General features: G+C 43.1%; 1 pseudogene, besides 1 other annotated feature; it reads right to left on the bottom strand.

The window, feature by feature from the left end:
• Positions 5,912–6,443: an enhancer, noted in NCBI's record as "NANOG hESC enhancer chr8:56960415-56960946 (GRCh37/hg19 assembly coordinates)". NCBI's record gives its function as "activates a minimal SCP1, AML or CMV promoter by ChIP-STARR-seq in primed H9 embryonic stem cells {active_cell/tissue: H9 hESC(primed)}" and the evidence as "EXISTENCE:reporter gene assay evidence [ECO:0000049][PMID:30033119]".
• PSMC6P1 (proteasome 26S subunit, ATPase, 6 pseudogene 1) lies at positions 7,735–9,272 on the bottom strand (annotated as a pseudogene).

Genomic DNA, 12,463 nt, shown 5'->3' on the forward strand with positions numbered 1-12,463 from the left:
AGCAGATAAAAGTGATGACATTACAAGAAAAAGCTGAATTGCTTGATATGTACCATAGATTGAGGTCTGCAGCTGCAGTTGTGGGCCATTTTAGACAGACAATTCATCTTATAAACAGACAAGATAAACTTAGATCAAGTACTGTAAATGTATTTTCTAATTTTATGATTATTTTTCTTTTTTTTTTAGAGACAGGGTCTCACTCTGTTGCTCAGACTGAAGTACAGTGGCTATTTACAGGCATGATCATACCACGGGAACATCAGCTCCTGGGCTCAAGGCATTCTCCTGCCTCAGCCTCCAGACTAGTTAGGACTATAGCCACATGAAATATTAATAATATTTTTTAACGGGAATTATACTTAATTGTAAAGGTTAGTGTTCTTATATATAGAATAAATAAAATTTCATTTACTACCTTCCACTATGTATTAGGTTGGTGCAAAAGTAATTGCTGTTTTTGCCATTACTTTTAAATGGCAAAAACCGTAATTACTTTTGCACCAACGTAATAAAATGGTTAGTAACTTTGGTCTCACCTGAATATATAAATGATGGCCTAATGGTTTGTGGATGGGGCCATGGGGTATGCACCTTCTATATAATATATAGGATTGGGGAACCTCCTAGTTCTAAGACATAAAACTTCTGTCCTGGCTGGGCAAGGTGGCTCATGCCTGTAAGCTCAGTACTTTGGGAGGCCAAGGCGGGCAGATCACCTGAGGTCAGGAATTCTACATCAGCCTGGCCAACATGGTGAAACCCTGTCTCTACTAAAAATACAAAAATTAGCCGGGCATGGTGGCGGGCACCTATAATCCTAGCTAGTCGAGGGGCTGAGGCAGGAGAATTGCTTGAAACTGGGAGGCGGAGGTTGCAGTGAGCCAAGATTGTGCAACTGCACTCCAACCTGGGCGACAGAGTAAGACTCTGTCTCAAAAAAAAAAACAAAAAAACAGAAACAAAAAAAAACAAAAAACTCTCTGTCCTTATTTAGCTTTTACAACTTTTCCTCTTCAGTGCCTTCTTAGTTTTTTTGTTTTTGTTTTTGTTTTTGTTTTTGTTTGAGACAGGGTCTTGCTGTGGCTCAGGCTGGAGTGCTGTGGCACTAGCTGGGCTCACTGCAACATCCACTCTCCAGCCTCAAGGGGTCCTCCCACCTCGGCCTCCTGAGTAGCTAGGACTACAAGAGTGCTCAACCATGCCCAGCTAATTTTTTATTTTTATTTTTTTGTAGACAAGGCCTTTCTATTTTGCCCAGGCTAAAAAAACCCAAAAACTTGTTTTATTGAATGTTACTAGACTCTTTGCTATGGCTACTTTAAAATAAAAACTTGTAACACTTCTCTAAACTTGTTAATGCCAATATTCTCAGTTATCTCATCAGAATTCAAACAGTAAAACCTCTTGTAATTATTCATGGAGCATAATAACATCACCCTTACTAAATGTGGTTTTTTTCTTTTTATTTTTCTTTTTTGAGATAGGGTCTCTCTCTGTTACCCAGGCTGGAGTGCAGTGGAGCAATCTCAGCTCACTGTAACCTCCACTTTCTCGGTTCAAGCGATTCCCGTGCTTCAGCCTCCTCAGAATTACAGGCGGGCACCACCAGGCCTGGCTAATTTTTGTATTTTTAGTAGAGACAGGATTTCACCATGTTGGCCAGGCTGGTCTCAAAGTCCTGGGCTCAAGCGATGCACCTACCTCGGCCTCCCATAGTGCTGGGATTACAGGCGTGAGCCACCGTGCCAGCCACTAATTGTGTTTTATAGCCAGAAGAGAAAATTGGCATCACATCTACTTGGGATCATGGAAAAATGATTTATCTTCAATATAATCAGAATTCTGGAATTTCAAAGCTGAGAGGGACTTCTGAGGTCGTTTAGTTTAAACCTTCATACATCAGGTATCTGAGTCCCAGAGGTTAAATGATTTGCTGAAGGACCAACCTGAGAGAAGAACAGGAACTGGAACACATGTCTTTCAATACCAAATCTTGTGATCCAAAAACTCCATGTTGCATGGTTGATTACAAATATATAACCATAACTTGAATGCTACTGCTATATTATTGACACGTACTTCAATGCTCTCTCATTGTACCAGGATGTAATTATCAGGATCTGCCTCTGCTGGGCATCTTTCCTTTCGTTCATTGATTTCATGGTCCATCACTTGGTAATATTATTGGTAATATATTCCACTCCCTTGTCATTTCTTTCACCATTGCCATAATCTAGTAAACCCCAATCTTGGATTAATACAACAATTTGCTTTCCCTGTGTCTAAATCTTTTTTTTTTTTTTTTTTTGAGGTGGAGTTTCACTCTATTGCCCAGGCTGGAGTGCAATGGCACAATCTAGGCTCACTGCAACCTCCGCCTTCCAGTTTCAAGTGATTCTCATGCCTCAGCTTCCTGGGTAGCTGGGATTACAGGCGCCCGCCACCATGCCCAGCTAATTTTTATATTTTTAGTAGAGATGGGGTTTCACCATGTTGGCTGGGCTGGTCTTGAACTCCTGACCTTGTGATCCGCCCACCTCGGCCTCTCAAAGGGCTGGGATTACAGGCTTGAGCCACCGCAACCGGCCTTTTTTTTTTTTTGAGACGGAGTCTCACTCTGTCACCCAGGCTGGAGTGAGGTGGCGCGATCTCGGCTCACTGCAACCTCCAACTCCCGGGTTCAAGAGATTCTCGTGCCTTAGCCTCCAGAGTAGCTGGGATTACAGGCACCCACCATCACGCCTGGCTAATTTTTGTATTTTTAGTAGAGATGGGGTTTCACCATGTTGGCCAGGCTGGTCTTCAACTCCTGACCTCAGGTGATCCACCCGCCTCAGCCTCCCAAAGTGCTGGGATTGCAGGCATGAACCACTGCACCCAGCCGCCCTGTGTCTAAATCTTGATCACCAAGGGCAACTGGAGAAAAAAATAACAAAGTTGCTCATATTGGTGTCACTGTAAAAACGAGGTCATATATCCCAGTAATCCTTCTGTTTTCTGATCAGCTCTATATTGCTCCTGTTCATCCCCATGCTTTTTCAAACTTCTGCATGCTCTGCCAATCTTAGATCCCACCAGATCCCTCCTAATTTAGCATCTGAGGCTTTCTCTTATTCACAGAGACACTGAGAATCACATAGGAGAACTTTCTGAACTCTGGGCATAAACAAGTGAACTGACCTGCCACAGGCCTTGTCCTTACCTCATTCCTTCTAGTTACAACCAGAAAGGGGTTGTGGTATCCCCCTCCTCTCCTAGCTCATTCCCCTGCCAACTTATATTCCATACTCCGACATTCTTGGGAGGCTCACTCTGTTACTCTCCACGCTGTTCACCTCTTGTCTCCCAACTGCCTCCTTCCCAACAGCATTTTTTTTTTTTTTGAGACAGAGTCTCACTCTGTCGCCCATGCTGGAGTGCAGTGGCGTGATCTCAGCTCACAGCAACCTCCGCTTCCTGGGTTCAAGTGATTCTTCTGCCTCAGCCTCCCAAGTAGCTGGGATTACAGGTGCCCACCGCCGCACCCGGCAAATATTTTTATTTTTATTAGAGAAGTTTTCACCATGTTGGCCAGGCTAGTCTTGAACTCCTGACCTCAAGTGATCCACCCATCTCAGTCTCCCAAATTGCTGGGATTACAGGCATGAGTTACCGTGTCCGGCCCCCCATCAGCATTTAAACAGCTGAAACCTCATCTGAAAAACACAAACCTTGCATTGCTGCCTTCCAGATTTGCCCTCTTTTTTTTTTTAATTAATTTACTTTTGGAGATGGGAGTCTTGCTATGTTGCCCAGGCTGGCCTTGAAGTCCTGGGCTCAAGCAATCCTCCTACCTTAGCCTGCCAAGTAGTTGGAATTATAGGAGAGCCACTGTGCCTGGCTCTTGTTCTCTTATCTCCTCTAGAGCCAAACATTCCAAAGGATATCTTTGTGCACTCTCTCTCCATTCTCTCAGCCTCCTCCCACTCTCAGTCTTCTTCTGTCTACCTCCCATCTCCACACCTCTTTGACATTATCTCTGTATAAATTTTTGCTAAATTTAAGACTCTTATTTATGTTGTACTTTATCTGACCCAGTTGATACCTTGCTCATCTTGAAATATGTCCCTTGGCTTCCCTCATTCCGCAATCCCTTCGTTTTTCTCCATTACACTTATGCATTTGTTTCCTCTCAGGACTGGTGTCCTGCAGGGCTTCGTTCAGCCCCTCTTCTCATCTCATTCGACACAAGTCCCCGGGGCCTCTTGTCCATCCCCGGGACTGCCATTATCATCCTCGTGCGAGGTCCCCATACCTGCATCACTCTTCATTTATCTGTCTTTCTCAGATTCAATCGATTTCCAAATATAGTAGATTATACTTCTGAAAACATCTCATAGTGATAGTGCTTTCTCTATCCCAACGCCCACTATTTTAGTTCAAGTTGCATTCAGCTCTGGCCTGAACTCCTCTGATGGTCTCCCCAACTTCAGACTTCTCTCTCCCTTTCTTCCTTTTTTTTTTTCTTTTTTTTTTTTTGAGACAGAGTCTTGCTCTTTTGCCCAGGCTGGAGTGCAGTGGTGTGATCTCAGCTCACTGCAACCTCCACCTCCAGGGTTCAAGCAATTCTCATGCCTCAGCCTCCAGAGTAGCTGGGTTTACAGGCGAGTGCCACCATGCCTGGCTAATTTTTGTATTTTTAGTAGAGATGGGGTTTTGTCATGTTGCCCAGGCTGGTCTTGAACTCCTGACCTCAAGTAATCTGCCCGCCTTGGCCTCCCAAAGCACTGGGATTACAGGCATGAGCCACAGCACCAGGCCCAGTCCATTTTTAATAGTGTGTCTGATCAACTTACTCTTCTCACCAAAACCCCCCGATATTCTCCCCTATGAAGATAAAGGTTATATTCCTCAGCATAGAGGAAAGGCCCTGCATGATTGGTCCTTCGTATCTCTCCAGCCCTCTTTGTGCACATGAACTCCAGACCTGAGGCTCCATTCACACTGACTTCTCTCGGACTGTGCTCCTGCTCACCTGTGAGCTCTTCCATCCACCTGAAACACCACTTCACGTGTTTTCCTCCTCCTCACTACACCACCCCCAATCTAATTGATTCCTTCTTATATTTTACTTTACTAATGAGCCCTTGGAAGACTCCAAAATCTGAGTTAGGAGAAACATCTAGCTTTGAGTTGTGCAGATAATAAAACAAATTCTTGTTAAATTGAAACCATGATTTTAGCAAAACCAAGTTGAAGTTTACAGAAAAACATATGATTTACTAAGCATTGCCTCAACACAGAGCTTAACCTTCTTCCTCCTAGAGAATCAAATTCTTAACATGCTTTGAAATAATTCAAGTTCTGGGCTGGGAGCGGTGGCTCATGCCTGTAATTCCAAAACTTTGGGAGGCCGAGGCAGGTGGATCACAAGGTCAGGAGTTTGAGACCAGCTTGACCAACATGGTGAAACCCTGTCTCTACTAAAAATACAAAAATTAGCCGGGCGTGGTGGCACAAACCTGTAATCCCAGCTACTTGGGAGGCTAAGGCAGGAGAATCGCTAGAACCCAGGAGGCAGAGGTTGCAGTGAGCTGAGATCGTGCCACTGCACTCCAGCCTGGGCAACAGAGTGAGACTCCATCTCAAAAAAAACAAAAAAACAAAAAAAGAATTCAAGTTCTGCAGAGAGCCCTCTCCTGGGCTGCAGACTGCTGCCTTTCTCCTTGTAGCCTCTGGAGCCTCTTATTTATTTATTTTTTGAGACCAAGTTTCACTCTTGTCACCCAGGCTGGAGTGCAGTGGCGCAATCTCAGCTCACTGCAACCTCTGCCTCCTGGGTTCAAGTGAGCCTCCTGCCTCAGCCTCCTAAGTAGCTGGGATTACAAGCACGTGCCACACTCCTGGCTAATTTTTTTTTTTTTTTTTTTTTTGTATTTTTAGTAGAGATAGGGTTTTGCCATGTTGGCCAGGCTGGTCTGGAACTCATGATCTCAGGTGATCCACCCGCCTTGGCCTCCCAAAATGCTGGGATTACAGGCAGGAGCCAAGGCGCTCGGCCTGGAGCCTCTTTTATAAGGGTGTGAATTCCATTCCGGAGGACTCCACCCTCATGACCCAATCACCTCCCAAAGGCCTCATCTCCATTATAATACCATCACCTTGGGGGTTAGGATCTCAACATAGGGGTTTTGAAGAGACACAAACATTCAATCTGTTGCAGAGTACCAGATAAATAGATTGTGCTGTAATCATACAATGGAATCCTGGGTAATCACTGGAAAAGAATAGTTCTATAAACACAAAAATAAGATTTTTCCAAGATACATTAAGTGAAAAAAAGCAAGGTGCAGGATGTGTGTAGACAGTGCTATAATTTGAGTGTGATACACATTTACACAGGCTTCAGGGGCTATTTCTATAGTGGGCAGTTGCATTTCACTCAGAATTGAGCTATGCCCCATGCTCAGCTCAGACTGAGCCTAGTCCACAAGACTAGGGCAGCTTTTGCCATCACTTCTTTTTTTTAGGAGTTACAAGAGTAACATCTCAGCCCATCTCATTCCCTCTGAGAATCCAATGAGTTTTGGATCTTCTATGCAGTAAAATCAGTCATTTTTACCTATAACCTCAAAGTGAATTAACTGAAGTCCATCCACAATTTACAGAGATCCAAAGATCCTAAGTTACAAGCCTTTTGTCAAGCAAGAGCTCAAGGTGCAATACCATACAGAATACTAAGAAAGCAGCCAGGCACAGTGGCTCATGCGTGTAATTCCAGCACTTTGGGAGGCCGAGGTGGGCAGATCACCTGAGGAGTTCAAGACCAGCCTGACCAACATGGAGAAACCCCATGTCTACTAAAAATACAAAATTAGCCGGGCGTGGTGGTGCATGCCTGTAGACCTAGCTACTCAGGAAGCTGAGACAGTGAGAATCGCTTGAACCTGGGAGACGGATATTGAGGTGAGCCGAGATTGTGCCATTGCACTCCAGCCTGGGCAACAAGAGCAGAACTCTCAGAAAAAAAAAAAAAAAAAAAAAGAATACTAAGAAAGCCTATGGCTGGGCCTGGATGGTCGTGAACACTCTCTTGAGTTGAGTGGCTGTGCAGCCCCAGATATGCCCTCAAAGCCTTGGAAGGGCAGCCTTGCCCTCAAAGCTGACCAGGGACCTACATGTGTTCTAGTCCACTCTACTCCTACTTGCTCTACTGCTCCATTCCATTTGAGAGCTAGGGTAATCCGCTAGGCATTATGTCATTGCAGAAGATGGCCTTTAGAGGTTTTCCTGAAGTAAGAAAATAATAGCTAGATTAGCATATCTTTAAATGAATTCAAGGGCTTCTCCTGGTGCAGTGGCCCTTAAGGACATGACGGTCTTCAAGCACAGTGCAGCAATGAAAGTTCAGAGGATCTGCTAGCCTATACATGTGTAATTATTAGTATACTCTATTTAATAAAGGAGGGAAAAGTATAGCACATTTCAGAAGAGTTCCACTGGGAATTGATAAAAACAAAGCTTTGGAAATTATGGGATTAAACTTTGATTGTCTGAAAAATAATTTTTCAGAATACAATATTCCCTAACTGAGGTGTTTATGTATTTAACTATTGACTATTCAGATGACTTACATTAAACTCATGAGACCAAGTTTTTATAACTTGACCTATACAAATTACTATATGAATACATAGTAAATATTACAAAATACAGAGGAAACTTAGAAATTATAAAGAATGAAATTTTTTTTTAATCAAACAGATTTTATTCAACTTTTTAGATGAGGAAAACAAATGATACAAAATAAGTCATAAGAAATGCTTTCTTATACCACTATCTCAAACCACTTTCAATATTTTACAAAATGCTCACACAGCAAATATGAAAAGCTTCAACACTCTCCCTTTGTAACTTGCTGCAATAAATGCAACTTTAACAAACATACAAATTTCTTCTGTATCTTAAAAGTTGAACTACTAATTTTTATGATGTTATTTTATTCATATACTTTTAATGACATCATTGCCAATACATACATTATTTTCTTTAACTTTATTTTTACACTAAGTCAACATCTGTCATGCAGCCATCAAAAATCTTACAGTAAATTACACAGGTTTGTAGTCCAATTTAGCCTCCAGCTTCTTAGAATCAGCCACTTTTCTGACTGCTTTCATGAAGTCTTCCTGTACTACAAAATCATGATCAGCACGAATTGCGAACATACCTGCTTCAGTACAAACATTTCTCAGGTCTGCTCCATTAAAGCCATCTGAAAGCTTCACAATTGCTTCATAATCTATTTCACCATGCTTTGTAATGGGACCTGCATGGATTTTCAGTATGTCTAATCTTGTTTGTTCATTTGGCAAATCAATATGTATTTTTCTATCTAATCTTCCTGGACACAGCAAAGCAGGATCCAGTGTATCTGGTCTGTTTGTAGCCATGATCATTTTAACTCTATGCAGAGTATCAAATCCATCCATTTGATTCAGTAACTCCGTTAACGTTCTCTGAATCTCTCTGTCAGCTGAAGTACCCTCAGAAAACCGACGACCACCAATAGCATCTATTTCATCCATAAAAATGATGCATGGTTGATGATCTCTAGCATAATTAAACATTTCTCTGATCAAATGAGCACTTTCACCAATGTACTTGTCTACAATAGAACTAGATACAACCTTTAAGAAATTGCAGTCCAGCTGGCTAGCAATGGCTCGTGCCAAGAGTGTTTTTCCCGTACCTGGTGGTCCATATAACAAACAGCCTTTTGGAGGTATTATTCCTACACGCTGAAATAACTCTGGGTTTGTAAGAGGTAATTCTATCACCTCTCTTAATTCCCGGATCTGTTCTGATAGCCCTCCAATCTCAGAATAAGAAACATTCTCAGGGTCCTCATGAGACATGTTATAAATCAGTGGATCCACCTCTCTTGGCAAATATCTCATGATAGTTAGTGTAGTCATATCCAAAGCAACTCTTGTTCCTGGCTTCAGCTTACTTTTGTCAAGCTGTCGACGACAACCCACAACATATCTTGGTCCATTGGTAGCTTTAACAATGAATTTTTCTTCAGTTAACTGTTTAAACACTTCACCCACAATCTGCCCAACACTTCGTAGGGCCTTCAGATCATTTTCAGACTTTTCATACTGCTTGGTAAGTTCTTTTAATTGTTCCCTTAACTCCTTAAGACGGCCATCGATCTCCTTGTGCTCAAGCACCTTCTTGCGGTAGTCCCTAAGCGCCTTATCTCTAGGGTCCGCCATGATGAGAAGAAGAATGAAAAATATTTAATTTGTCTTAGCAACTGCATCTGGCCTAGGGAAGCAAATGCTTACATTTTGTCTCTCTCAGCAGGCCCCCATCTCTCCTTAGACTTCAAGCTAGTTGGTTGCCTTAAGATCTCAGCTTGGCAAGGCATGGTGGCTCATGCCTGTAATCCCAGCACTGTGGGAGGCCGAGGCGGGCAGATCACTTGAGGCCAGGAGTTGGAGACCAGCCTGGCAACATGGCAAAACCCCATCTCTACTAAAAATACAAAAATTAGCCTGGTGTGGTGGCGCACACCTGTGGTCCCAGCTACTCAGGAGGCTGAGGCAGGAGAATCTCTTGAACTCAAGAGGCAGAGGCTTTGTGAGCTGAGATCATGCCACTGCACTCCAGCCTGGGCAACAGAGCGAGACTCCATCTCAAAACAACAACAACAACAACAACAACAACAACAGCATGGCTGGGTGTGGTGGCTCATGCCTATAATCCCAGAACTTTGGGAGGCCAAGGCGGGTAGATCGCTTGAGGTCAGGAGTTCAAGACCAGCCTCGTCAACATGGTGAAACCCCGTCTCCATTAAAAATACACAAATTAGCCAGTGTGGTGGCCACCGCCTGTAATCCCAGCTACTCAGGAGGCTGAGGCATGAGAATTGCTTGAACTGGGGAAGCAGAGGTTGCAGTGAGCTGAGATCACACGATAGCACTCCAGCCTGGGCGACAGAGCAAGACTCCGTCTCAAAAACAAAAACAAAAACCAACAACAACAAACCAACCTCAGCTCCCCTATGGGTTCAAGAAAAGTCACGAACTTGCATTTGGTTCAGGTGAAGGTGACTCCCTTTCTAGTTCTGTATATTGTGAGCAGAAACTAGAAGTCTCTATTACAGAAGTTTAAACAGAAAAGTTATATGATCCGATTTAAATATTTGAAAGATAATTTTAGCCTCCATTGAAAACACAGAATGAGCCTGGGGATGGGGGCAAGGGTGAAAGCAGGAAGACCAGCAAAGAAGCCATTGCAACAGCCCAGGCAGGAGGCTCTGGAGGAATGGACTAGTAGTTGCGATAATCACAAAGGGACTCCTGTGGGAACGGACAGTTTGCCATTGCAGAATATAAATCCACATTTCAGAATCTCTTGCTAGTTTAAATGTATGTATACAATAGTTTACTGATTTCATTTCAGTTCGAACAAAGTAGATAGAATATCATTTTTGTGTACACAAGCGTTTAAGATATGTGGCTTCTGTGTGTGTTTTTAATAATCATAGTCAAACATGACTTTTTTTTTTTTTGAGACAGGGTCTTGCTCTGTTATCCAGGCTGGAGTACAGTGGCATGATCTCGGCTCACTTCAACCTCCGCCTCTGGGGTTCAAGAGATTCTCATGCCTCAGCCTCCGGATTAGCTGGAATTATAGGCGCGTGCCACTACGCCCAGCTAATTTTTGTATATTTAGTAGAGACGGGGTTTCCCCATGTTGTCCAGGCTGGTCTGGAACTCCTGGCTTTGAGTGATCCACCAGCCTGGGCCTCCCAGCAAGACCTTGTCTCGAAAAAAAAAGTCATGGTTGATGAAAAGCACACACAGAATTCACATGTCTTAAACATGTGTGTAGACAAAAATGATATTCTATTGACCTTGTTCAAACTGAAATGAAATCAGTAAATTATTGTATAAATACATTTAAAGTAGTAAGAGATTGTGAAATGTGGATTTATATTCTGCAATGGCAAACTGTCCGTTCCCACAGGAGTCCTTTTGTGATTATTACAACTACTAGTCCATTCCTCCAGATCCCAAAGTGATGGCATTACAGGCTTGAGCCACCGTGCCCAGCACCTTTTCCTTTTCTTTTTCTTCCCCTTCCCTTCCCTCCGTCAGCAACTCAGCCCCTGCATGTGACCATCCTTATAGGGCAGTAGGGAGCCACAGTGGCCCTGCTGCAGAGTGTCAGAGCCTGAGCTGGGCGAAGTGGGTGTCTGTGGAAGGGGCTCCCAGGTGCAGGGTGCTGGTGTCCCAATGGGTAAAAAGGGTGCCTATATGGGGGAAGGGGACATGGAATCAGCCCTGAGTGAGGGGCTGGAGCCTGAGTGGTGCTAGAAAGGGGTCCAAGTGGGGCAGTGCCTTGTCATCTCCTAAAGTGTCAAGGCCAGGAAAATCAAAGGCAGGCTGAAGAGCTGTTCTGAGCCAAATGAGACTAAAGAGACCTGTTATGTTAACTCAGCGTGATGCCTGATTCTCATCTGGATCCTTGCACTCTAAAGGCAAGTCGAAGACAATTGGTGAAATTGAATAAGGAGGACTAGGTATGATGTGTCATTGTAATATTCCTAATTTTTATGTTTGCATTAGGGTTGGGATGCAGAATGTATGTTTTTGTAAAAATACATGTTGAAGTGTTTAGGACAATGGAGCATCATGTTAGCAACTTATACAAAATGGCTGAGAAAAATGTTCTGTGTACTGTTCTTTCAGCTTTTATGTAAATTTGAGATTGTTTTGAAAGAAAAATAAAAAGAAGAATCTTTAAAGAACTTGTGCTTGTCAAGATTATTTTCTGGCATTGTGGTAACAACTGTGATAAATCAGGCTCACAGCTTTTATAGCACTGGTTTATGTCTCTTCCCTCTTTTTTTTTTTTTCTGAGACAGAGTCTTGCTCTGTCTCCCAGGCTGGAGTGCAGTGGTGTGATCTCAGCTCACTACACCCTCCACCTCCCAGGTTCAAGTGATTCTCCTGCCTCAGCCTCCTGAGTAGCTGGGATTACAGGCACCTGCCACCACGCCCAGCTAATTTTTGTATTTTTAGTAGAAGCAGGGTTTCACCATGTTGGCCAGGCTGGTCTCGAACCCCAACCTCAGGTGATCCACCCGCCTTGGCCTCCCAAAGTGCTTGGAATACAGGCGTGAGCCACCGCGCCTGGCCTCTTTCTTCAATTTTAGGAGACAAAATACTTTTTGCTCCTGTGAGTTTTCCTTTGTTTTCTTTAAAGCAAAGCTTAATGGGATTTTTCTTTGAAAAAGATTCAAGCTCACAGTGTGACTCTTGGAGATGAAAACACTTGAGACTTGATTAATGTACAAAGTGATAAATCTTAAGTGAACAAATAATAAGAAATATATAATTTTAAAACATCTGACAAATCACTTATAGGAAAACAATGCACAGTTCTTTAATTGCAGTTTTGTTAG

Source organism: Homo sapiens, chromosome 8 (assembly GCF_000001405.40).
Source record: "Homo sapiens chromosome 8, GRCh38.p14 Primary Assembly".
NCBI lineage: Eukaryota > Metazoa > Chordata > Mammalia > Primates > Hominidae > Homo > Homo sapiens.